This window comes from Homo sapiens, chromosome 2 (assembly GCF_000001405.40).
Source record: "Homo sapiens chromosome 2, GRCh38.p14 Primary Assembly".
NCBI classification, from domain to species: domain Eukaryota; kingdom Metazoa; phylum Chordata; class Mammalia; order Primates; family Hominidae; genus Homo; species Homo sapiens.
This window is the reverse complement of record NC_000002.12, coordinates 25,145,495-25,170,080: the sequence shown is the minus strand read 5'-3', so window position 1 is coordinate 25,170,080 and position 24,586 is coordinate 25,145,495. Positions and strand designations below refer to the sequence as shown.

General features: G+C 51.2%; 2 protein-coding genes across 6 annotated transcripts in view, besides 15 other annotated features; one reads left to right on the top strand and one right to left on the bottom strand.

Annotated features, from left to right (window-relative positions):
• Window positions 815-1,627: a promoter, noted in NCBI's record as "PvuII/BamHI fragment for promoter". NCBI's record gives the evidence for it as "EXISTENCE:transcriptional activation assay [ECO:0000170][PMID:6305652]".
• Window positions 1,095-1,123: a protein binding site, noted in NCBI's record as "IVA probe". NCBI's record gives its function as "positive regulation of transcription" and the evidence as "EXISTENCE:protein binding evidence [ECO:0000024][PMID:10353606]".
• Window positions 1,152-1,177: a protein binding site, noted in NCBI's record as "hPOMC-CRE; also known as HPE4". NCBI's record gives its function as "mediates response to cyclic AMP" and the evidence as "EXISTENCE:protein binding evidence [ECO:0000024][PMID:7865128]".
• Window positions 1,199-1,224: a transcriptional cis regulatory region, noted in NCBI's record as "Tpit site". NCBI's record gives its function as "mediates positive regulation of transcription by T-box 19" and the evidence as "EXISTENCE:reporter gene assay evidence [ECO:0000049][PMID:21193556]".
• Window positions 1,225-1,398: a transcriptional cis regulatory region, noted in NCBI's record as "-273 to -93 fragment". NCBI's record gives its function as "positive regulation of transcription" and the evidence as "EXISTENCE:reporter gene assay evidence [ECO:0000049][PMID:7772256]".
• Window positions 1,279-1,301: a protein binding site, noted in NCBI's record as "E-box". NCBI's record gives its function as "positive regulation of transcription in response to ultraviolet irradiation" and the evidence as "EXISTENCE:protein binding evidence [ECO:0000024][PMID:15358786]".
• Window positions 1,382-1,414: a protein binding site, noted in NCBI's record as "HPE1 (-115 to -83); AP1 weak binding site". NCBI's record gives the evidence for it as "EXISTENCE:protein binding evidence [ECO:0000024][PMID:8329120]".
• Window positions 1,385-1,404: an enhancer, noted in NCBI's record as "-112 to -93 fragment". NCBI's record gives its function as "bidirectional enhancer of transcription" and the evidence as "EXISTENCE:reporter gene assay evidence [ECO:0000049][PMID:8329120]".
• Window positions 1,420-1,448: a protein binding site, noted in NCBI's record as "nGRE; also known as NurRE or GR site". NCBI's record gives its function as "negative regulation of cyclic AMP mediated induction" and the evidence as "EXISTENCE:protein binding evidence [ECO:0000024][PMID:11174853]".
• Window positions 1,424-1,448: a protein binding site, noted in NCBI's record as "nGRE; also known as P-NBRE or Nur77 site". NCBI's record gives the evidence for it as "EXISTENCE:protein binding evidence [ECO:0000024][PMID:9496246]".
• Window positions 1,464-1,476: a transcriptional cis regulatory region, noted in NCBI's record as "TATA box". NCBI's record gives its function as "required for transcription" and the evidence as "EXISTENCE:transcriptional activation assay [ECO:0000170][PMID:6305652, PMID:6327275]".
• Window positions 1,470-1,476: a TATA box. NCBI's record gives the evidence for it as "COORDINATES:motif similarity evidence [ECO:0000028][PMID:6305652]".
• POMC (proopiomelanocortin) lies at window positions 1,501-9,221 on the top strand. 4 transcript variants are annotated; one of them, NM_001035256.3, is made up of 4 exons: window positions 1,501-1,583; window positions 4,396-4,445; window positions 5,289-5,440; window positions 8,329-9,221. In NM_001035256.3, exons 3-4 carry the CDS (start codon window positions 5,309-5,311, stop codon window positions 8,998-9,000), a joined length of 804 nt encoding a protein of 267 aa, NP_001030333.1. In that variant the 5' UTR covers window positions 1,501-1,583; window positions 4,396-4,445; window positions 5,289-5,308; the 3' UTR covers window positions 9,001-9,221. The 4 variants fall into 4 exon arrangements, with proteins under 4 accessions (NP_001030333.1, NP_001306133.1, NP_000930.1 ...); NM_001319204.2 differs by having other exon boundaries at window positions 5,259-5,440; NM_000939.4 differs by lacking the exon at window positions 4,396-4,445.
• Window positions 8,158-8,207: a silencer, noted in NCBI's record as "silent region_11245". NCBI's record gives its function as "represses an Ori minimal core promoter by ATAC-STARR-seq in GM12878 lymphoblastoid cells {active_cell/tissue: GM12878}" and the evidence as "EXISTENCE:reporter gene assay evidence [ECO:0000049][PMID:35858748]".
• Window positions 8,248-8,397: a silencer, noted in NCBI's record as "silent region_11244". NCBI's record gives its function as "represses an Ori minimal core promoter by ATAC-STARR-seq in GM12878 lymphoblastoid cells {active_cell/tissue: GM12878}" and the evidence as "EXISTENCE:reporter gene assay evidence [ECO:0000049][PMID:35858748]".
• Window positions 8,884-9,740: an enhancer, noted in NCBI's record as "H3K27ac-H3K4me1 hESC enhancer chr2:25383210-25384066 (GRCh37/hg19 assembly coordinates)". NCBI's record gives its function as "activates a minimal SCP1, AML or CMV promoter by ChIP-STARR-seq in primed H9 embryonic stem cells {active_cell/tissue: H9 hESC(primed)}" and the evidence as "EXISTENCE:reporter gene assay evidence [ECO:0000049][PMID:30033119]".
• The window catches only part of EFR3B (EFR3 homolog B), a 117,060-nt gene continuing 103,419 nt past the window's right edge, over window positions 10,946-24,586 (bottom strand). For both annotated transcript variants that reach the window (NM_014971.2, NM_001319099.2), the window contains exons 20-23: window positions 20,339-20,387; window positions 18,061-18,167; window positions 16,320-16,369; window positions 10,946-15,846 (exon numbers count right to left, since the gene is read on the bottom strand). In NM_014971.2, coding sequence (NP_055786.1) covers window positions 15,741-15,846; window positions 16,320-16,369; window positions 18,061-18,167; window positions 20,339-20,387 — 312 coding nt within the window. In that variant the 3' untranslated portion in view covers window positions 10,946-15,740. The remainder of the gene's footprint in view (window positions 15,847-16,319; window positions 16,370-18,060; window positions 18,168-20,338; window positions 20,388-24,586) is intronic.

Genomic DNA, 24,586 nt, shown 5'->3' with positions numbered 1-24,586 from the left:
TGGTGGTCGTGGGGTGGATGGAAGATTAAAAAAATGGGGACAGAAGTGAATTAGTGCAAGCCACTTGCACTGACAAGATGGGGATGGACTTCTGTGGAAGGCAGAGGAGGTCATGCCTCATGCCCCTGGTAGGAAAAGTGGCCAAAGAGGGCTTCAGAGAACAGGGGCTGATGGATGGGCTACATCTTGATGTGAGTCAAGCTCCTGGATGGCTGGAGAGAGGAAGGATGTTCTAGTTGGGGGAACAGCTTGGACAATGGAGACCCAAGAAAGCCATGTTCTAGCAGTGTGAATGTTGTGGATGCTGAAGTGCCAGGATGCAAGGTGGAGAACTGGGAAATGGCCCTGGAAAGGGGCCAAAGCCGGGTGATGAAGCACCTTGTCTACTGTGACGGAGCTTGGATCTCTCTTGTGGTCCAAAGGGAAAGGATTGCTGAATGTAAAGCCAATGTCACCAGAAAAGCTGAATCCACAAGAGAGTCCTGGAGTCCAAAAGAGCATCTCATGGGGAATCAGGAAAGTTCTGGCATTTGGCAGATTAAGCAAGTGTCTTGATTTGAAGTCCAGTTTAGTCCCAATACTCCCTCCCACACCCACCACATCGCACAATTTGGTTTTGTTTATTTACTCCAGGTTAAGGTAGAGTCTCTTAGCTTGGTTTGAGTGCTGTACTCTTCTCTCTGGTCTGATATTTGGAACTAAAGCCAAGCCAGAACTCCAGGGCCAAGGGGGATGTTGAAAATTGTCTGAGTCCCCAGACCACCCTGCCAGCTCATGGCAAAGGGAGGGATCAGAGGCCACAGGGAAAGCACTTCAGCTGCTCTTCACAGCATCACCCTCTCCCCATTTAATGGTTTAGGTTAACAGGACTTTTTCCTTGAGGCTTGGGACACGGAAGGGAGCCTCCCCTAAACCAGGCCCTTGGAGAGCAGGCCCCAGGGGAGCAGTGCAACTCACCTTCACACCCACAAGACGGCTCCTGACTTCTGCTCCCTCCTCCCCTCCCCAAAGTGGAACAGAGAGAATATGATTCCCCACGACTTCCACATCACAGTTTCCAAACAATGGGGAAATCGGAGGCCTCCCCGTGTGCAGACGGTGATATTTACCGCCAAATGCGAACCAGGCAGATGCCAGCCCCAGCACGCACGCAGGTAACTTCACCCTCGCCTCAACGACCTCAGAGGCTGCCCGGCCTGCCCCACACGGGGGTGCTAAGCCTCCCGCCCGTTCTAAGCGGAGACCCAACGCCATCCATAATTAAGTTCTTCCTGAGGGCGAGCGGCCAGGTGCGCCTTCGGCAGGACAGTGCTAATTCCAGCCCCTTTCCAGCGCGTCTCCCCGCGCTCGTCCCCCGTCTGGAAGCCCCCCTCCCACGCCCCGCGGCCCCCCTTCCCCTGGCCCGGGGAGCTGCTCCTTGTGCTGCCGGGAAGGTCAAAGTCCCGCGCCCACCAGGAGAGCTCGGCAAGTATATAAGGACAGAGGAGCGCGGGACCAAGCGGCGGCGAAGGAGGGGAAGAAGAGCCGCGACCGAGAGAGGCCGCCGAGCGTCCCCGCCCTCAGAGAGCAGCCTCCCGAGACAGGTAAGGGCGCAGCGTGGGGGACCCGTGCTCTTTCCCCGGGATCCCCTGTCCCCGTCCTCGCGATGCAGTCGGCCGGCTCCGGCTCCGAAGGCGGACCTGGGCGCCTCTGGCTCTCCGCGGTCCCGAGTTCTCGACAAACTTTCTGCGCCGACTGCGGCATGAGAAGCCGCCAGTAGCTGAGCTGGAGGGCCCACGTCCGGCCCCTGGGCGGACGGCCGCGAAGCTGCAGGCGCTGTCTCCAGGGAGCCGGCGGCCTCCTCTCCCCCAGGGGCTCGCGGCGGTCCGGAGGCTCCGAGAGCTTGCTAGGAGGTCTTGGGACAACCCGGTCTTTTTTTTTTTTTTTGAGACGGAGTTTCGCTCTTGTTGCCCATGCTGGAGAGCAAAGGGGTGATCTCTGCTCACCGCAACCTTCGCCTCCCGGGTTCAAGCGATTCTCCTGCTTCAGCCTCCCGAGTAGCTGGGATTACAGGCATGCGCCACCACGCCCGGCTAATTTTTGTATTTTTAGTAGAGACGGAGTTTCTCCATGTTGGTCAGGCTGGTCTCAAACTCCCGACAACAGGTGATCCGCCCGCCTTGGCCCCCCAAAGTTCTGGCATTACAGGCGCGAGCCACCGCCCCCGGCCAGCCCGGTCTTTTAGTATCTCTTGCTCCCAGTTTCCAGGATAGGTGTCACATCTTGAAAGTCAAATTCCATACACGCTATCGCAAATTAATGTTGGAAACGGGGCAGCAGAGAAAAGGATAAAAGTCATAATGAACGCCCTGCCTTCCGGATTTTTTCGGATTCAGACCCCTGAATCCTTGTTTCCTTGCCCACCTTAGCGCACCCGAGGTGGCCGCGCTATGATAATTACATGATAACTGGGTCAATTACAATGCAGAATAGTTGGGTCTCTTCTCTCCAAGACCTAGCTGGGGTTAAAAACAGGTGGCCGGGGCGGGAGCTGTCCTAGATCCTGAAACGCACTGTCTAGTTTCGGATGCCCTCAACAGAACCGGGGTGGACGGTTTATGGCGCAGATCCTGGGTTGAGGGCACGGGCAGCCATTTGGAATGATCAAGGCTCAGGTAAGGGGCGTTTCCAGCGAAGGAGAGACAGTCCACTTGGCATTTGGATTCCCCAAATTCTTCATGTTTAAATGGGGCAGGGAGGGTTCTTACAGAATGGCTGGAAGGAGCCAAGGAAAATAAAAGTGTGTGTGGATTTTTTTTGTGTGTGTGTCAGTTTATAAACTCTGCACAGATTATGGCCACTTTAATGACTTACTGTTCCTTTGATGCTTTTGTTATAGGACTCGATGCATGTATGTCATGGTGTAAGGACAAAACTCGGCCCCTGTGCTCCTCTAATCTTTACAAAAGGTCATGGCCAGCGTGCAGTTTTACAGTAACAAGCAAAATGATTTGTTGAGCTCATAGAGAGCCCCTCACACCTATGAAGTTCTAATAAGTGTAGTTCTACTATAAAGTTAATCTCAGGATGAGCAAATTTCAAGTTTCTATTTTTCCAGAGCTTTCCATTTTTGGATTATAATACTTTCCCTACTTAAAAAAGCACAACATTTGATATTTCCCCAATAATTTGTTGCTTTAAAAATGACACAAAAGGTACTATTTGTTCATTGTAGAGAACTGAAAATACACATAAGCAAATACACATACACATAAGCAAAATATACAATACAAACACAAGACCATCTTTCAGGGAAGAATCTGAAGTTTTAGCAATAGCAGCCATCTAACCAGTTTAGCAACAGAATATAAGCTCTGAGAGGGTGGGAGTGAATATGTTACCACATTGTACAACACAGCACATAGGGCATAAGGAGGGGAAATGCTCTCTGGGGCTTTCCAGGAAGGCCTGAAGTCATTGCTTCTAGCAAATGGAAATCACTCCAGAGTAGTTATCTTTGACAAGAATTGAAATATAATTGAGGGAACTATCAGACCTGTAAGATTTTGTTTTTTCCTTTACTAATATGTTACTTTACATTTGCATTTGGTGACATACGTAACTACCATTTTTCTGTGACTGTAACATCTGGGCATTTTTCAGAGCTAAATGTGCTATGGTCAACTTGGAGCTTTAATCTAATTGCCTGGTCCACCAAGTTCTGGCTGTGTACTTGAATAGATCACTGGCAGGGTACAATGGGAACAGCCTGTCCCTTGGAGCCAGGAGAGGACACCAAGGTTGACCAAAGCTCGTTCAGTTGCCCCTTTAGCCGAAGCGCACCTGGGCCAGTCACTGGCTGCCAGTGCCATCTAATGGCTGCTCTGAAAATGCTCAGCCTTGCCCGGCAACCCTTCAGAAGCTAGCACCGTGCAGGCCCAGCGCCTGGGGAATAGGGCGAGGGTGGGGTAGAGAGAAGGAAGTGGCCTCCTGAAGTAGAAATCAGCGCTTCAGAGGACTTTCACTTCCAAAGCCTCCCCTATATAAAAAAGATTTGGCCCACGCCTCCCCAAATGAGAGATTTATTTTAGGCAAACTTATTTTAAAATGCCAGCGTTCATTAGGAGTGACAAGACACTTAGTCATCCACGCTTTAATGTGAATTACTTTTCTCATCTAATTACATTTCTTTCTAGCAGCTGGCTGAGAAGATCTTCTGAAATCCAAAATGATTGTAGGGTTGGCGGTGAGCTGATCTCCGGCCTCGAGGTGGCTTCAGGGGGCCCACCTGGTTAAGGGAAATTTGGCAGTGCGAGGGTAGTGCTGGAGAGAGGGGTGGGTACAGGGGGCTAGGGGCACCATGGATGCCCCCTCCTTACTGTCCCCTGGTGTCTTGACCTCAGCTTCTGCCCACAGGCACTTGCTGGATTCTCCAAAAGTATCTGCAGTGGCTGTTCCACCAGGAGGTAATTCCCTTCTGGTCTCTTTCCCCTCCACATCTGCATCCTCTTCAAATCCTGCCATTTCAGACCACATTTGAGAGCTCTAGAGAACAAGACATCTGACACGTGACGTGTCCAGAAGATGAGCCAGATTTCAAAGAACTGAGATCTGCTTTAAAAACGAAGCTCTCCAAAGTTACTGGAGTCTGGGTAATAGTGATCACCAGAGTAATTTGTGTGCAGGACATCAAATCAGGCTGCTCGAAATGCTGCCTAAATTGGCCAGTGGTTTTATTTGCTTTTCTGTCAACCTAATATTCATAGGAAATAGAGTTTCAGAGGAATGATAGGATCCTGGTGGAATAAAAAGGGAAAAGACCATCTTGAGCAGGAGTTTCAGGGTCCTCCGTTTTTCCCAAGTTACTTTCACTCCTGAGATCTTGCATGTTAGAACTACAGCTTAATGTAGTGAAATAGGAAAGTTCTCTGTTAGGAGCTTAGCCTTACCTTGTCATGGACATTAAAGTAATTGTCTCTCTTTGGGCTTCAATTTTCCCATCTCTCATGGGAAGGGCTGAACCAAGCAATCCCCAAAATAGCTTCCAGCCTTAACCTTTTTAGGGGTCTCGTTTAAATAGAAGATAACAGGGAAATGGTCACAGTTTACCCACCATTCCCTCCTCCTTATCACAACTTATACCACCGCTGTACTGCACACCTCCTTTCTCAGCATTGCTGCTGTCCTTAAAATGCCTTTAACTCCACAAGAGAGTGTGTTGTTAATGTTGGCTCAAGGTCCTTCCTGGTGAGTGGCCAACATTGTTTTGCTCCTTGCAGGGGTCCCACCAATCTTGTTTGCTTCTGCAGAGCCTCAGCCTGCCTGGAAGATGCCGAGATCGTGCTGCAGCCGCTCGGGGGCCCTGTTGCTGGCCTTGCTGCTTCAGGCCTCCATGGAAGTGCGTGGCTGGTGCCTGGAGAGCAGCCAGTGTCAGGACCTCACCACGGAAAGCAACCTGCTGGTACGTGGGCCATGACTGCCATCTTGGCTTAGACATTAGATGGGACTGGAGCTGGGAAAGCTCAAAAGAAAAGGGTGTGGGGAAAGGGAAATTCATTCCCAGTGATAGGCGTGATTCAATCCAGGGCAGGAGCAAAACTTTGCAGTGAAGTAAGAAATGGGAGAAGAAATCAGGGAAGGAAGCAGCTTCAGGGAGAGGGGTTGAGTCCACAATTTCTGCTTGGTTATCCTTACTTCTTGCCCCATCTTTTATGGAGACCTTGAACCCTTTAAGCTAGAGATGGTGCTATAAGAGCAATAATGGACCCCTCAATCTATTCTGTACTTTAAATCTTTAGCTTCCCAAACTATTCCTTTTTAAGAAGCTCATATCACTTGCCATTTTCATTCCATATTTCTTACCCTTTTATCTACTACCGGTTGCAAAACCAGCCAGGTAGTTCTTCAAATCATCTCTGGAAGAAGGAAAAACCAGGGGCCCTTTTTTTTTTTTCTTTAATTGGTGCCAAATGTCTCATGTTTATTCTGGAGGACTGGCCTTCTGCTGTGTTCCTCTACAGTCTTTCCAGAGCATGTGAAGGCCCTTTGCATCAGGCAGGAGCTCCCTCCAGGTCACCACAGGGTGTATGTATCTGCCTGTGGGGGGTGTGTGTGTGTGTGTGTTGGGGGGCATAAATGAGTAATGATGCCAAATCCAGAGATTAAAAGGCACACTGAGACCAGGCGAGATGGCTCATGGCTGTAATCCCAGCACTTTTAGATGCTAAGGTGGGAGGATTGCTTGAGCCCAGGGATTCAAGACAAGCCTGGGCAACATAGTGAGACCTCCACTTCTACAAAAAATAAAAAAGTTAGCCAGATGTGGTGGCATGTGCCTGTAGTCCTAGCTACTTGGGAGGTTCACTTGAGGCCAGGAGTCTGACGACACAGTAAGCTATGATCACACCATTGCACTCCAGTCTGGGTAACAGAATGAGACCTTGTCTCAAAACAAAACAAAATGAAACAAACAAACAAACAAACCCCCATACTGTTAGTGTCAGTGACCGGAATTTTAATCTTGTTGCCATCACCTGGCAGGTGCTGAGGGTGGAATGTACATAACTACATTCTGTGTATTTTGTCAATGCAGAAGCTGAGTTAAGGTGAAGATAGAATGAGGTCCTCAAAGACACAGACCAGTTTTCATGTGTAATATAAAATAGAAACAAAGAGCCCAGGGGATTCTGTGAGTTCCAGTTTGGAAAGACCCAAGAGTCTCTTGACTTGAGACACCCACAGCACAGCTCACCAGGGAGGGTGCACTGGACACAGTCAGGACCCATGGGTTCTAGACCCAGTTTTGAGGTGTGGGACCTTGACCAGGTCCTATCACCTCTCTGAGTCTCCTGTTTCACTATCTGTCCACGGGAGGGGAGTGTAAATTAGTTTTTTCCATTGTTAACGTTCCACAGAGTTGTAATTCTGAACACCTGGAGTAGGCAATGTCCAGCTCAACAGAGTGGGTAGGATCCTTTTATTTTCTCCTTTGCTATTCCCAAGAAAGAGAGCAGCCAGTGAGCTTTTCATCTTTTTATCACTGAAAACTCAAGGCTGCAGCCTATGCAGCCATTTTCCTAAGCTAATATGTACCACAATAGAGTCCTCTAGGGACAAGGAGCAGAGACACAGGTTCCACAGACGGTGCAATGGAAATAACGCTAGCTTTCCACCCCTCCCTCCAGTCAGAATGAGATTACAGGGAAATAAGCTTGCCCCAGAGCTCACTGGGGGATCTCTCAGAAATCAGCTCAGAAGTCGTGAAAGAACCAAGGTGCAGTTTTGGAGGCTTAGTGCAGAGATGGAGCTGGGGTAGGGCATAAAGTAGGTTTTTCATCACTGAGGTAAGGTTGAGGCATTATTTTTTATTTTTTGTTTATTTATTTATTTTTTTGAGACGGAGTCTCGCTCTATCACCCAGGCTGGAGTGCAGTGGCGCGATCTCCCCTCACTGCAAGCTCCACCTCCCAGGTTCACACAGGTTGAGGCATTATTAAAAATATGTTTAAAAATATGGGCCCTAGTAGCCAGACTTCTATCACCTGGAGAGATTATCCCCCAAATTTCAGCCCCACTCCCCTCCTGGACTTGAATTAAACCATATGTATTTATTCAATATTCTTTTTATTTATTTATTTATTTTTTTGAGACGGAGTCTTGCTCTGTTGCCCTGGCTGGAGTGTGGAGTGCAGTGGTGTGATCTTGGCTCACTGCAACCTCTACCTCCCAGGTTCAAGCGGTTCTCCTGCCTCAGGCTCCAGAGTAGCTGGGATTACAGGCGCCCGCCACCACACCCAGCTTATTTATTTATTTATACTAGAGATGGTATTTCACCATAGTTGGCCAGGCTGGTCTTGAACTCCTGACCTCATGTGATCTGCCTGCCTTGGCCTCCCAAAGTGCTGGGATTATAGGTGTGAGCCACCGTGCCCGGCCCTCAATATTCATTAAGTGCCAACAACTACCACCCGTCTGCCTTTCTTGGAGCCACTCCTTTATGTCAGGCATATAACAGTAAGACTTTGGTCCTGTTCACAAAAGCTAGGGGTGGCTAGATGGCTAGACAAACCATGGAATGGGATGGGAAGTGTGTTGCAGTTGCCAGGCAGAAGCATGAAGGGGATGGGACAAAAGAGGCAGTGGCAAGATCTTAGATGCCCACGAGTGCCAAGAAAGCAGGTGGGCAGACCTGCTCTGTAGGGAGGCCTCGACGCTTGACACGCCCGACACTGTGCCCTGTGTCCTCGGCACGTGGCGAGGGCGGCCAGGGCCTAGGCGCAGTGACGGGCGCGGCAGCCGGGCCGGGGTGCGGGGCACGGGCTGCCCTCATGCCCTCGCGTCTTCCCCCAGGAGTGCATCCGGGCCTGCAAGCCCGACCTCTCGGCCGAGACTCCCATGTTCCCGGGAAATGGCGACGAGCAGCCTCTGACCGAGAACCCCCGGAAGTACGTCATGGGCCACTTCCGCTGGGACCGATTCGGCCGCCGCAACAGCAGCAGCAGCGGCAGCAGCGGCGCAGGGCAGAAGCGCGAGGACGTCTCAGCGGGCGAAGACTGCGGCCCGCTGCCTGAGGGCGGCCCCGAGCCCCGCAGCGATGGTGCCAAGCCGGGCCCGCGCGAGGGCAAGCGCTCCTACTCCATGGAGCACTTCCGCTGGGGCAAGCCGGTGGGCAAGAAGCGGCGCCCAGTGAAGGTGTACCCTAACGGCGCCGAGGACGAGTCGGCCGAGGCCTTCCCCCTGGAGTTCAAGAGGGAGCTGACTGGCCAGCGACTCCGGGAGGGAGATGGCCCCGACGGCCCTGCCGATGACGGCGCAGGGGCCCAGGCCGACCTGGAGCACAGCCTGCTGGTGGCGGCCGAGAAGAAGGACGAGGGCCCCTACAGGATGGAGCACTTCCGCTGGGGCAGCCCGCCCAAGGACAAGCGCTACGGCGGTTTCATGACCTCCGAGAAGAGCCAGACGCCCCTGGTGACGCTGTTCAAAAACGCCATCATCAAGAACGCCTACAAGAAGGGCGAGTGAGGGCACAGCGGGGCCCCAGGGCTACCCTCCCCCAGGAGGTCGACCCCAAAGCCCCTTGCTCTCCCCTGCCCTGCTGCCGCCTCCCAGCCTGGGGGGTCGTGGCAGATAATCAGCCTCTTAAAGCTGCCTGTAGTTAGGAAATAAAACCTTTCAAATTTCACATCCACCTCTGACTTTGAATGTAAACTGTGTGAATAAAGTAAAAATACGTAGCCGTCAAATAACAGCAGCATGGATCGGAGGAGCACAGTGGTTTCCATGCGGTAGGATATTTCACAGGACTTAGTGAGCGTGAAAGGAAAATGTGCTTCCTGCCCCCACCCCCAAATGGATCTTCGAGGGATCAGATAGTTTGGGTGAAGGCACAGGGTGGCTCCAGCACCTCTAGGATGGCCGTATTTTCCACACACTCCACTGAGTGGGAGACTGCTCAGCTAGCACACGTGTAAAGGCAGGATTCCTGCAAGAGTGACCCCGGGCGCTCAGGGGCTCCCCGGCTCCGGTCCACCTCCAAAAGCCAGTTGGACAGGTTGAGGCCTACCCACGCCTGGGAGTGCTCTGGACTGTCAGGTGAGAAGTCTTGGTAATGTCTCCGGGGAACTGCTCGTAGCAATCCATGGGACCTTAGGCAAGTCTCTGAACTTCTCCAAAATTTAGTTCTTTCATCTACCCCTCCCTTCCCAGTATGAGGGTTATTGTGAAGATTAAAGGAGAAAATGGACATAATCTTCTTTTTATCATAGAAGCTAAGTGTGAGAGCTGAGGGTTAGTATCAGTTCCAATTTCACTCCCAGGCTACTCACAGATACGCTCAGACATACGGTCTCTCTCACACACACACACTCATGGAGACACACATCTGTTTAATACAACATACTCTACGCAGTTGCTTCTTCCAGCCCCTAGGGCTTAAGCCCTGACTCAGGCCCTCTGACCCCTCCTGCCGTGCCCAGGCTCCTCCCTCCCCGCGTGTTTCAGCTCCAGCCCTTCTCATCCTTAGTACTTCCCCCAGGCCTCTCTGATAACAGCTTCCCAACCAACTGGTCTCCTAGTTTCCAGCTGCTCTCCCCAGCCCATCATATACGAATTCTTCACGTTAGTTTACACAAAATCTTGCTTTTTCCCACAGTCCCAGGCTCAAGAGTCAAAACAGTGCCCCCACCCCAATTTCTGTCAATTCCAAACTACTAAGCATGGTGGGCAGGGCCCTTGTAGACGGGCACTCTCTCCTTACCAAACCCTGCTTCCCAAGTTTCCCCGGATGAAGGCGCTGCCTCACACTCGTTGGTCTCCTCACAGGTCTCGCATCCTCCTATACCCTCTGCCTGGAACCCCCCACCTTCCCCTGCCATTTTGTTGTCATTGTTGTTGTTTTTGAGATGGAATCTCGCTCTGTCACCCAGGCTGGAGTGCAATGGTGTGATCTCATCTCACTTCAACCTCCGCCTCCTGGGTTCAAGCAATTCTCCTGCCTCAACCTTCCAAATAGCTGGGATTACAAGAGTGCGCCACCACGCCCGGCTAACTTTTGTATTTTTAGTAGAGATGGGGTTTCACCAAGTTGGCCAGGCTGGTCTTGAACTCCTGACCCCAGGTGATCTGCCCACCTTGGCCTCCCAAAGTGCTGGGGTTACAGGCTTGAGCCACTGCGCCTGGCCAGAAAGCCAGATTCTTAAGACAAGGTGTTCCCCAGTATGGCTTACATGGAATGTGCTAGAATGAATAATGGCCTAGGCCTTCCTGAGGATGCTCCCATGCTGGGCATGCTGGGCCTGAGGTTTCCATCTTGGTAGCCTCCTTTCCCCCACACCTTCTCCCTCTGAGACAGGTAAAGTCATGGTTGGTGGAGGTGGCTAAATGTCAGTGGTATACTGTTGGTATTTTCAGATCCCGTTTGCTTCTCAAAAAAACCATTTACTTTAAAGAAATCAAACAGACAGCCATGTGGTGACAACATTAACATTTATTTGAAAAGGGCATCGTGATGGCTCACTGGGAGATCGCGACTAATAGTCCTAGAGAATGATTTTGCTAAGAATCCTTCTTCCTATACTTCCCCCCACTCCGCCTTTCCCACTTCCCTAAAATAAAACTAACCAATTCAATGGGTTTAAAATACAGAAAACCGCCACGGGCACTAATTCTGCACTCACATATAAATACACCAGCTATTATATACACATATTGTCAACTACAAACTATACTACACACACATGCACACACACAGCCAGGTCGTGAGGCTCTAAGTGGACACAGACACATTACGAGATATGGGCTACAGCATTTGTGGATTCACAACTCTGCCTCCACGCGCCAGAAATCAACAGTCATGGGGGGAGAGCTTGGAAGGGGAAGGTGACTGGCTTGGGCGGCCCCATGGTCCCCTGAAGTACAGGAGACCTGGCCAGCCAGGCTGGGGCTAAAGGGAGCACAGAAAACTGCCTTTGGCCCCAGCAGGGCCACAAAGCCCTTCCTGCCGCCCTCCTGTCCCTGCCATACCGCGTCTTCCAGCTAGCCAGGCTCTAGGATGGGCCCATCATGACTATCCTGCAGTCTTCAGACCTAGGCCAGATTTGGGGTAAGGGGCCACTCTAACCAGAAGATTTCTAGGGTTAATGGGATGAAGAGGCAACATGTTGCCCTAAACCTTTCCCCAGGTGTGAGGGAGATGCCTGGTTTCAGCACGACCCGCCTGCCAAGGTCTGGGGTCACAGGAAGTGGGCCTGGCCTGCCCTGATGATGCCATCTCCCTGTCTACCTTTAAACCTAGTGTCTACCTAACAGCCCAGGTTAGCCCTTTCCCACAGGACCCCAACCGGCCAGCTGCCATTTTCTGGTCATGAAGAGGAATTGGGAAAAATAGACTCACTTCTGCAGGGCACTCTCTGTCACCAGGTCAGGAGGCCTGGGGACAATGGAATGGAAACTGCAAGGCATCATGTCCCAGGGCCCCCAGAGGAGCCCAGAGGTCTGGCCTGAGCTGTTCAGAAGAACCCCTGGCTAGTCTGATTCTTAGTCCAGCTGAAACGTGTTCTGTGTGATCTAGAACACCCAGGGCAAAGGGCGGCACATCTATGACACTTGTGCTTCTTCAAGTACTTCAGTGAGTCCAGGCCTCCTCTTTTCCTGCTCATCCATTGATATCTGTGTATGGGAAAGGGGGCTGGACAGAGGGGGGTATCTGAGGACTTTTCTAGTTCTTCTGACCTGCTCAGGCTCCTTCTATAGTGAGGAGGCTGTTTAGGAGTCAAGAAACCACTGATTTCTACTTTTCAAAGAGAGAGGGAAATGGAAACAGGCACAAGGCGCTGGGGACTCCATGGCAAGGAAAACAGAGGGAGCCTCGGGACCACACTGATGCTTTCTGCCGATCTGCCTCTTATCCATTCACCTGACTCCACCAAATTAACAGTACTTCCAAATCTCAAATACATTCCTGCCTACTCAGTGCTGTCAGCAGAGTCCTGACCAATGCTAGCCCTTCCCCACACAGCTAGAGTCCTCGGGCTTTGGGAGCAGCCGGTCTCAATGGGCTTACTGACTCCTCTTCGCTCAAAATCACATCAGAGAAGGGTGGCAAAAAGGGGCACAATGCAATGCCACTAGCCTCCAGGGGCTTGGAAGGGCAGGACTCACTGATGCTAGACCAAGGGCCAGGGTACCTCCCTCCCCTCCAGATCCCATCAAACTGCTTTGCCTCTCTCCCAGGGCCTGTGCTGGGGTGAGGAGATTACCTACTATCACACTCACCTTCACCTTTCCGATTCTGGCCTATTTGGCCAGAATCCAGGTTCTACTCCATGTCAGCAGACAACCCAACACTCTACTGAGTGTAAGTTTAAACAAAACTGAGAAGAGGGCACTCAAAAAAAATGACCAGTTCTTCAAAAGAAGCACATTTTTGCTAAGCGGCAGTGATGGAAAGGAAAAGCTGCCTGGGACCGGTGGAGAGGAAACAGCAGAATCTATGCAGAATGGGAACCTGCACCTTTTCTGTCTCTCTATTCACAGGATGGGGATGAGGGGCAGAAACATCTGGGGATCTCAGGTTCTAATGCTGGCTCTGGAAAGATGCTCCAGGGAGGCGACTGCCAAGTCCCAGAACCAGGGCTCACAGGCAGTGCTCAGGATGAAGCTGCCACGGGGAACCCTAATGTTAAGTAGGCACAAGAAACAGTGGGTCTCTCATCCAAGCTGGGTGCAGGATAAAACCTGGGAGGAGCTAGTGAGGAAAGAACATGTTTGTGGCTCAAGATTTCAATTTTCTTTAAAGTTTCTTTCAGAGGTTAGTTGCTGTCAAGTTTGAGTTAATTTAAACTTGGTTTTTAAATATATAAATACTAAAGAGAAGTCTAAGTTCATGCTTGTAAAATTGGGTTGAGTATAAGCCAGAGGCCATAAAGCACAGCCAAAAAGCCTTGGGGGTGCAGGAGCCTCCATGCCTGGGCCCTGCCCTCACTCAGGCCATTCAGAAGCCACGTGCCAAGCAGGCGCAGTGGCTCACGCCTGTAATCCCAGCACTTTGAGAGGCTGAGGCGGGCGGATCACTTGAGATCAGGAGTTCCAGACCAGCCTGGCCAACACGGTGAAACCTCATGTCTACTAAAAACACAAAATTCGCCAGGCGTGGTGGTGCACGCCTGTAATCCCAGCTACTCAGGAGGCTGAGGCAGGAGAATCACTTGAACCCAGGAGGCGGAAGTCACAGTGAGTTGAGGTCACACCATTGTACTCCAGCCTGGGTGACAGAGCGAGACGGTGTCTCAAAAAAAAAAAAAAAAAAAAAAAAACAAGAAAAAGAAGCTGTGTGCCCACAGCAGAGATGGTGACCACAAGGAAGAGCTTCATTTGAAGTGCCAAAACTATGGGAATGAGGGTCAAATAGCCCCTTCCCCAAGACATTTATTGCACATATTAATGGGAAATGCTCGTGTTCAGTCCCTCCCCGATTCTGGAAAATACATCCACCTAACAATCAGGCTCTCCCTGCACATCCGTGCACACCACACGTGGGGCTATGAGCTGAGGCCGTCCTGAGAAGCCTGCCCTCCCCTGAGGAGAAACAGCCTGCTTCTGACTCCATGCCACACTGCCTGAAATTGTACCCTAAAAAGGGATTCTCAGCTACTCAGGAGGCTGAGGTGGGAGAATCACTTAAACTCAGGAGTTCGAGGCCAGCCTGGGCAACATAGTGAGACCCCCATCTCTAGAAAAAAAAAAAAATTAAAAACGGATTCCTTTGGATCAAGAAATCTACTCACCCTGCCTCCTTTGGAAAGCAGACTCCAGGGAGAGAACGTCTGACACTCACATCTTACTGTAGGTTATGTTGGCTCGGAGGAGTTATGGGAAATGTGACTAACGGAGAAGGAAAGGGCAATTTTGGACCACATGGCACTGCCATGGGAGGAGCCCCAGGTGAGGTTCTGTCAGTGGCACCCCGGGAGACACAAAGGCACCTGGAGGAGGGGCCGGGAAGGGGAATTGGCAAAGAAGGCAACAAACTGCCTCCTGGGTGGCTCTGCCCGGCTCCGCGTTAGCTCCTCTCTGCACATCCTCATTACACAGAGACACAGACGGCACACCAGGAAAACAGGAACCCAGAACCCAAAGGGGTCTCCATGGCTCCTCCCAAGCCACAAGCGTTGCCAGGTGGTGCTGATGTCCCAGACTTTGTCCAGAGAGTGAAGAAATCATTCCAATATTAGGTGTTAGATCCTTCTTTCTTCAAACGGAACATCCAAAAAGTTGGCTTCTGATATCCTTGAGCCCCAAAACACCACTCATCCCACCCTCCCCACTCTCCTACAACCCAGGTCAGGCTGGGAGCCTTTTCCATAGGAGGTGATGTGGGCAAATCTTGGGGACCCTGTAGTTCCCCTCCAAGATTATCTTGCTCTGCCTTTCCTCAACCCAGAAGCTCCAGGAACACCTTGGGACCCTCAGAAGAAAGACATCAAAGAGAGAGAACCCAACTCTGAAAAACGTCCAGCAGACAGGACTGTGGGAGGCCAACACAAGCTCCTTATGAACAAAGGAGGTGGGAAGCTGCTGCAGGGACCACACTCGCCCGCTGGGCCTGCTGATGCCACAGGCCCACCTCCTGCCAGCCCTGCATCCTGCTTCCTGCCCTTTGCTGTCCCCCGACCCCTCGTGATGTCTCCACCCCAGCTCCTGTTATAAGGGCTCAGCATTCATTAATAGTAGAAAGAAACATGAACAGACAACTGGGAGATGAGCAAGAGAGTGAGAGACACAGCAGGGACATGGGCGGGGAGCAGGGGGAGTGCTGGGGAGGAGAGAGCCATCCCCATCTCAGCTTCCTTCCCCAGGGGAGTAGAGTCCTTAGCTTCCTCTCACCAACCAAGTCTCCATCCAGCTCCGTCCTCTGGGGAGGACATGCCCTTCACTCAAAACACCAAGTAGGAGCTTCTCAGCCCCCTCCCCCCGGCTTCTCCTGAGAGACACCCCATGATTCTCTGCCCCTGGCTGACACAAGAGAAGACAAAGAGGGCACAGGTGAGATGCTGATTGGTGAGACCTCCCTCAGGGAAGACGAGGAGGAGGTAGGAGGGCCAAGAAGGACCAGAGAGTCTCCACCTTGGCTTAGCCTGGGAGGCGCTGCCATCTAAGGTGATGTTTTCTCAGAGATCACAGCCAGATCTCCATGTGGTCGGGGTGGGCGTGAGGTGAGCCCCTCCTCAGACCCCATCTCCTTGAGGAGCTCAGGCTCTTGGAATTCAGTATACACACAGATCGGGAAACTTCATTTCATAGACGGGGATGGAGTGGTTCTGCGGCTGACCGTAGGCTGCAGTGATGGTTCCTGATGGGCTTGGTGGGGGCCTAGGGGGCAGGAACACATGGGGAGAAAGGCATGAAAAGAGAATTTTAGGATCCCACCCTTGTGCAACCAAACAGAGTAGGTGACTTGGGTTTCTTTTTGCACAGGCACCAGAGACCCCTTCATTCCACAGGTTCCCAGGATTCCACGTTCTACTAGAATCTACAGCTTGGAGTCAAGCTTCCCTGCAGGCTCCGCAGTGACACTGCTGCTTTAGAAAGTGCCAGCCCGGAACACTAGGACTCTTGCGTCTTTCCAGGTTTCATTGAGGCAGGCTCTTTCCCTCTCTGGTCTCTATTTCCTTGTCTAGGGAGGGTTAGAGTTGGTGGCTGACTCCAGCCCAGGGGATAGAGATTACAGTGGTAGAAGGAGGTGGGGAGGAGAGAAGAGAAGACAGGGGTGAGAGGACTCAGGATGAGGAACCCCAATACTGGGCCACGGAGGTCAGGGTCCCCTGCCCAGGGTTGTCACTTACCGGATGGTGATTTCAAAGATCTGATTGAGTTTGCTCTGGAGCAGCGATGCCTAGACACAAACACACGGAAGTGAGCTGGCAGGGGTGGGGGGTCCAGAACCTCTGCCAGCTGGCTCAGGGTGTCCAGAGTATACGCTGGAGGTACAGGGCAGCCACAGCCTTAGGAAGGCAGGCAGAGGTGAACACGCTCCAGCACTCATCCACTGGACCCTGACTGCAGATTCGGATCAGGGAAAGCCACCTACTGAAGGCTGGCTGGGGACAGGACAGAGGCTCAGAATCACCAGGGAGGACGTCAGCAGGCAGTTCTGGAAGGTCCTTTTCCTTAAGATGGGGCAGTAGGGGCTGCTGGGCATGGAGTCGGGAGACTGCACTAGTGCCGGCTCTTTTCTTTTCTTTTTTTTAATTGAGAAGGAGTCTTGCTCTGTTACCCAGGCTGGAGTGCGGTGGCATGACCTCAGCTCACTGCAACCTCTACCTCCTGGGTTCAAGTAAGTCTCCCAACTCAGCCTCCTGAGTAGCTGGGATTACAGGTGCCTGCCACCATGCCCGGCTAATTTTTGTATTTTTAGTAGAGATGGAGTTTTGCTATGTTGGCCAGGCTGGTCTCGAACTCCTGACCTCAGGTGATCTGCCTGCCTCAGCCTCCCAAAGTGCTGGGAGTACAGGCATGAGCCACTGTGCCCAGCCTGTGCCAGCTCTTTTCTAACTTGCAAGGAGCAGCTGTGCAAAACTGGTGGCTTAGAGATGATCTCTGATTACTTCTGGCTCTAATGAGGTTAATGAATGCAGAGAGTGGGACTGCACGTGTTCCGTGACTGGGCCCTGATTCCTAGCTCATAACATGGGCATCCCTCTCAAAGTGGGATGAGAGGTTAGAACAATACAGGCCCAGGAAAATCTATATGTGTTTTATATACACACACACACACACACACACACACACACTTCTATATGAATATTATATATAAAATATTTATACATATTATATTTTGTTAGGAGAATAGGTTATTTGTAGATTTTGAATGTTTACAGTTATGTTTCATTGTTACTAAGCTTGACATTCGGGGCTAATAAATCCCGGCATAGAATCAATTTCAAGATTGTCTGAGCTCCTCCCTCCAGTCTAGGCATGGCTCCTCATTTCTACATGTCCAGCTGCCTCTCTCTCTGATCTCTTTGCCAAGGCCTGGCTGTTCCATCCCCCTGCCAAGGTACCCTGGTTGGAAGAGGGTCCTGCTGCCAACGTTGACCATCTTCCTTTGCCACACACCCCTCCCCCATCACTCTGTAACATGGGGATCATAATGGCACCAACTTCATGGAGTTATCATGAGAATGAAAGCGGCTCATCAATAGAAGAAGCTGTCATCCGCAGTGAGTGCTGTTCACGTGCCTGCTGTCAGGACCACAGTGAGCATGATCTGACTGCCAGACAGGTGCCTCAGCTCAGGACTTCTTCCTTATGTGAGAAGTGTGAGGTCTCAGAGAGACCCAAGACAAACACCCAAGTCTTTTGGTTCATAGGGGAGCAGTGCAGCGCCAGGGTGTTGGGGAAAGCCTGGCAGGGCAACAGCGGAGCTCCCTGCATTGGAATACAAGCCCTGATGTCTGGCAGGGTGGGGGTGGGGGAGGTTGGTGGTCAAAGAGCCAAGATCTCCTAGGAACTTAATCCTGTCCTGGACCCAAATTCAGTCTTGACTTGGCTCCCAGGGACTCGCCCATGTCATGCTTCACTTACCCGGGCCCCGCAGTGTGCAGCAATCTCCTCGAAGGGTGCCTTCTGGAACTTCTCCACCACCTGCCGCCGCCGCTCACGCTCCTGCTCCTCCACTGCTACGCTGTCCACTTCGACACAGAGAGCTGGGTTAGTGCCAGGCCCTGCTCACTGAGGTGAAGGGAGGGACTCCTCCAGGGAGCACTGTCCATGAGCATTGCTTGGGCTCTCCCCTCTTCTGAAGAGTAGGGGACAGTGGCGTGGAGGTGCGGTGCCCTCACTTGGCCCTGGAAGGTGGGACCTCTTCCTGATTCTGCCTGAGGGCTCAGCCTTCTTCCTCATGTAAGAATTTGAGAACTATGTGGGAGGCCCTTTCAGCGGGGCTCTTACAGCCCCAAGTAGCTGCTCTCCCACCGGGACTCTTAAATTGAAGGTCCTGAACAGTTGGTCCTTTGAGTACTCTGTGGGTATTTTGAAAAGGGACATTGAGGCTGGGCACGGTGGCTCACACTTGTAATCCCAGCATTTTGGGAGGCCGAGGCAGGAGGACATCTTGAGGTCAGGAGTTTGAGACCAGCCTGGCCATCATGGTGAAACCCCCTCTCTACTAAAAATACAAAAATTAGCCAGGCGTGGTGGCATATGCCTGTAGTCTCAGTTACTTGGGAGGCTGAGGCAGGAGGATTGCTTGAACCAGGGAGGTGGAGGTTGCAGTGAGCCAAGATCACGCCATTGCACTCTAGCCTGGGTGACAGAGCGAGACTCCATCTCAAAAATAAACAAAAAAAGAAGAGGGACATTGACAATGGTAAAGCCACACAGACCACAAAAGCCAACATGAAACACGTGTGGCAGGGCAGCCCGAGGCCATTTAGTTTAAGGCTTCTACACATGCTGCTTGGTATCCAAGATGAGTTAGCACCAAGAAGAAAAAGGGGTGTGTGTCGCACATGTCCATAATACTGTTGAGTTTTTTTTTTTTTTTTTAATAGAGATGAGGTCTCACTATGTTGCCCAGGCTGGTCTCAAACTTCTGGGCTCAAGGGATCCTGCCACCTTGGCCTCCCAAAGTGCTGGGATTACAGGTGTGAGCCACCATGCCTGGCCCATACTCAGTTTAAGAAGGCAAGAAATAGCCAGGTGCAGTGGGTTATGCCTGTAAGCCCAGCACTTTGGGAGGCTGAGGAGGGCTGACTGCCTAAGGTCAGGAGTTCGAGACCAGCCTGGCCAACATGGTGAAACCCTGTCTCTACTAAAAATACAAAAATTAGCCGGGTGTGGTGGCGGGCACCTGTAATCCCAGTCACGCGGGAGGCTGAGGCAGGAGAATTGCTTGAACCTGGGAGGCAGAGGTTGTAGTGAGCCAAGATGGTGCCACTGCACTCTAGCCTGGGTGACAGGGCGAGACTCTGTCTCAGAAAAAAAAAAAAAAAGGGCAAGAAATGTGTACATTCAGAGAGACTATCATTAATGATGACAAAAATTTAAAAGTTTGGCATTTACAGGCATAATCTGTCAACAGTTAGAAAAATCTGTTGTTGTCCAATGATCCAGATAGAGAGGTAACATGCATTTTAAAATCATCTGCCCTTATTAAATAGACATTCATATGATTCGTTATTAATATCTTCCATTGGCCAGCTTGTTCTTTTGTATCACACTTCACCAAATAAACCAAAAATTTATCCCGAATTGCTTTCTACCTATAGCCATCAACTGATTGCCTTTTTTTTTTTTTTTTTTTGAGATGGGAGTCTTGCTCTGTCACCCAGGCTGGAGTGCAGTGGTGCAATCTCAGCTCACTGCAACCTCCGCCTCCTAGGTTCAAGCAATTCTCCTGCCTCAGCCTCCCAAGTAGCTGTGATTACAGGCATGCCACCATGCCTGGCTAATTTTTGTATTTTTTCAGTTGAGACAGGGTTTCACCACATTGGTCAGGCTGGTCTCCAACTCCTGACCTTGAGATCCACCCACCTCAGCCTCCCAAAGTGCTGGGATTACAGGCGTGAGCCACCATGCCTGGCCAACTGATTACTTTTAAAGGCAGCTGTCTTTACTGGCAAAAGCGTTGCCCACTGTGGGCCACACAGGGCCTCACTACTGACCCCCATCAGGAGAGCAGGGATATTCAGTGGCAGCTTTGGTGGCTGTGATGAGTTTGTCAAAAGACACCAGCCTCTCCCTTCACGCAGGTGCTGGATCCCACTGCGGAGGGTGGTGTGTCCTGCTGCATCTGCAGGAACAGGCCCAAGGACCCCACCCCATTTTGCCCTCTAACCAGAGTCCCTTTGCCCTGACTTACCAATGGCTTTCTTCAGTGTCTCATAGGTGATCTCCTCGGCAGGCACTCGCTGAAGGAGAAGGGACAGAGATGCTCAGAAAGGCAGGGGGCAGAGAAAGGAGGCAGCCCTGGCACCCCCAGCTCTCTGGCAGCCCCTTGCTTGTTGGAAGAAAGTCCCAGTGGGCAGGAAGTCCCTCAGGACACCCCCACCCCCCTCAGGGTCTCAGAAGCTCCCTGAGCAGGCACAGAGGACAGCGAGATGCAGCGGGGAAGCTCATTCCTCATCAGATTCAGACTTAGACAGAGTCCTGAATCTCACATAAAAGAACACACTGTCCCCTGCTCCCTCCCCAAGCCTGTCCATCAAGCACCATGGGAGGAAAACACTGCAATTTTATTTCATGTTATTTTATTTTGAGACAGAGTCTTACTCTGTCGCCCAGGCTGGAGTGTAGTGGCATGATCTTGGCTCACTGCAACCTCTGCCTCCTGGGTTCAAGTGATTCTTCTGCCTCAGCCTCCCAAGTAGCTGGGATTATAGGCGTGCACCACCATGCCTGGCTAATTTTTATATTTTTAGTAGAGACGGGTTTCACCATGTTGGTCAGGCTGGTCCCGAACTCCTGAACTCATGATCTGCCCGCCTCGGCCTCCCAAAGTGCTGGGATTATAGGTGTGAGCCACTGTGCCCAGCCAATACTGCAATTTTAAAACATCTTCAGAGAACACAACAGAAAACATTGGAAGCAAGGGAAGAGAGGTGGTGAATAGAATCTCAGATGTAAATTTCAGGAACTGAATATCAGTTCTGAAGTCTTTTTTTTTTTTTTTTTTTTTTTTTTGAGACGGAGTCTCGCTCTGTCACCCAGGCTGGAGTGCAGTGGCGGGATCTCAGCTCACTGCAAGCTCCGCCTCCCGGGTTCACGCCATTCTCCTGCCTCAGCCTCCCAAGTAGCTGGGACTACAGGCGCCCACCACTACGCCCGGCTAATTTTTTGTATTTTTAGTAGAGACGGGGTTTCACCGTTTTAGCCGGGATGGTCTCGATCTCCTGACCTCGTGATCCGCCTGCCTTGGCCTCCCAAAGTGCTGGGATTACAGGCGTGAGCCACCGCGCCCGGCCAGTTCTGAAGTCTTAAAGTATTAAATTACCCACCAATGCGACTTGAGCATTTAATAAAGATAAGAAATGGAAGGTTAGAAGTGACAGGCCGGATGCGGTGGCTCATGCTTGGAATCACAGCACTTTGGGAGGCTGAGGCGGGCGGATCACTTGAGGTCAGGAGTTCGAGACCGGCCTGGTCAACGTGGTGAAACCCCATCTCTACTAAAAATGCAAAAACTAGCCAGGCATGGTGGCGCGTGCCGGTAATCCCAGCTACTTGGGGAGTCTGAGGCAAGAGAATTGCTTGAAACCGGGAGGTGGAGATTGCAGTGAGCCAAGATCACACCACTGCACTCCAGCCTGGGCGACAGAGGGAGACTCTGTTTTTTTTTTTTTTAAAAAAAGAAGTGACCGGCCCTCCCCGGCTGCTGAGGTTCCAAGGAGTTACCCCACTCAGTCCTCTGCAGAGCCTATAAAAGGAAGTAGAAAATAATAAAACTCAAAGAAGGGAGATCCATAGATGCTGAAAATAATGAAGGAATTTGGACTAAATTCCAGAACTTACTCACTAGACAAAGAGCTATTAGACCTACGATTTACTCATGCTCTTCTTTTTTTTTTTTTTTTTTTTTTGAGATGGAGTTTCGCTCTCATCACCCAGGCTAGAGTACTATGGTATGATCTCAGCTCACTACAACCTCCACCTCCTGGTTGGTTTCCAGTGATTCTCCTGCCTCAGCCTCCCCAGTAGCTGAGTTACAGGTGGCCGCCACCATGCCCGGCTAATTTTTTGTAGTTTTAGTAAAGACGGGGTTTCACCATGTTGATCAGGCTGGTCTTGAACTCCTAACCTCAGGTGATCCACCTGCCTTGGCCTCCCAAAGTGCTGAGATTACAGGCATGAGCCACCACGCCCAGCCTCATGCTCTATCATTTAAACATAATCTTAAGCAAAAGCAGCAGACACAGAACAGAATGATTTCATTGATATAAAGTTCCAGAAGTAACGCAACTCAGGCTGGGAGCTCCCTTAGGGGAGGGGGCACAGAGGCAGGGCCCCTGGATGATGACAGTGTTCCACTCTCTCATCCAGGCGTGGTTGCGTGGGCATACACACTTTATGAAAATTCACTGAGTCGTGCATTTTTTGATTTGTTTGGCATTTTTGTTTGAGTAGGAGAGGACAGAAGTATATGTATGAGATAAAGTCATTTAACAAACATTAAGTGAGCACCAACTACATGCAGGACTGTAGGTGAGTCTATAGAAACTGCACAATTTGCTAGCATAGGAATTACATGCAAGAGAGAGCTATGCTCGGCTTTAACTCGCTCTGAGGACTTATCCTCTGTACGTCCATCCATTCATCCACTGTCAGCACCGAGCAACATTGGATATTCACCTGCAGGGTGCTAGGGAACTGTGTGGTGGCAACAGTCAAAGAAAATGCCGCTCTCTGGGCAAGAGAGAAGGGATGCTCCCTGGGCAAGAGCAGGGAGAGAGAAGTTTATGAGGAAACTGAACAGGGGCCGGGCGCTGGAGAACAGACAGTTCACAGGCGCTCAGCTGCACCAGTGTGGAGGGAAGGGTGGTTCAGATGTGGCATTCTGCACTAGCAAAGGCCTGGAGATGGCGGAGCGCAGCGTGGGAGAGATCGAGAGCAGCCCCACCAGAGTGGGACAGTGGATACGGGCCAGAGCAGGTGGGGAAAAATGAAATGGCAGAGCCCAGACTATGCATGGCTGGGAATGCCAGGCACCAGGATTCAGATTTGACCAAACAAGCATTTATTCACCCCTGCGGCAAGGCTGGGCAGTACGGCCCTAGGAACCACCGTGGGACTCTGGACTGGCACTGATGGCTGAGAGTGGAGAGAGTTGTGGCATGGCAGAAGGGCACAGGATGAAGGCCCCTGCACCCCTGCTTTGCCACCAAGCTACCTCTGGGCTAAGCTGACTCTTGAAGGGAGGAAGGAACTGATACTGGTGGCCCAGGAGGCCACTAGTGAGGAGGTGGCTCTGTAGCTGTGTAAGCATTTCGCCTTGCGCTTCTGAGTCACTTCACTCCTCAATTCCCGAGGGTCTCTTACCTCTTGGGAAGGGAGAATCGCCACTATGGGGAGAGAGCAGCCAACTCACCCCGATGCCTAACGCATTGGAGGTTCCCAGTCCTTGGAGCTGGAAGGGCCATGGAGGATGCCTCGTTCAACCTCATTTTACTTGTCCAATTAGCCCAAGTCAGAGCTTCCTTCCGTGGGAAGGTTCTGGATAAGCTTTGAGGGCCCTGGGGTAGAGATCTGCCCCAATAAATGAAGTGGTCGAGGGCACAGTTAGGGGGAGGCTTGATCCTGACCCCTAGAGACTTCTCCTACCTCTGATTGCATCTGGGGAAAGGCTTGATGTCAAAGCTGTCCTCCATGTCTATATCAGCCCTAATGGGCAGAGAGGCTGGGGAATGCCAGCCTGTCCATGCCTGAGGACCATGTAAGTCTTTCTGTCCCGGTCCCACCCAGATGTGTGTCCTCCGTACTTCTTGTGAACTGTAACAGTCAGCATTAAAAAAAAAAAAAAAAAAAACATCTTGGCTGTCAGTGGTTAGGGGAGAGATGAAGAGGTGGAGCACAGGGGGTTTTAGGGCAGGAAATGACTCTGTATGGTACTCTGGTGGGGGATGCATGTCATTACGCATTTGTCCAAACCCACAGAATGTACAACGCTGAGGGCGAACCCCAGTGTAAACGACAGACTTCAGATGATACTGTTGTGTTAAGGCAGGTTGAACTGTAAGAAATGCACCACTCTGCTGGGGGATATGGATAGGAGGGGAGGCTGTGCATGTGTCAGGGGAGGGGAGGGGGCAAAGGGCGATCTCTGTACCTTCCTCTCAATTTTGCTGTAACTAAAATTGCTTTAAAAATAGTGTAAATTTAAAAAAAGATTCTTTATTGATACATACGGAAGCAACACTATGAAAGCTGTTCTCACCCTTATCTCTCCAGTTAAGTCTTCTAGTTTCCAACCCAGAGCATATCGGTCCCCCTGTGAGTGGGGAATGATGACCAGCATGCCTTTCTTTTTAATTTTTTGAGACGAGGTCTCACTCTGTCACCTAGGCTGAAGTGCCGTGCTGCCATCATGGCTTACAGCAGCCTTGACCTCCCAGGC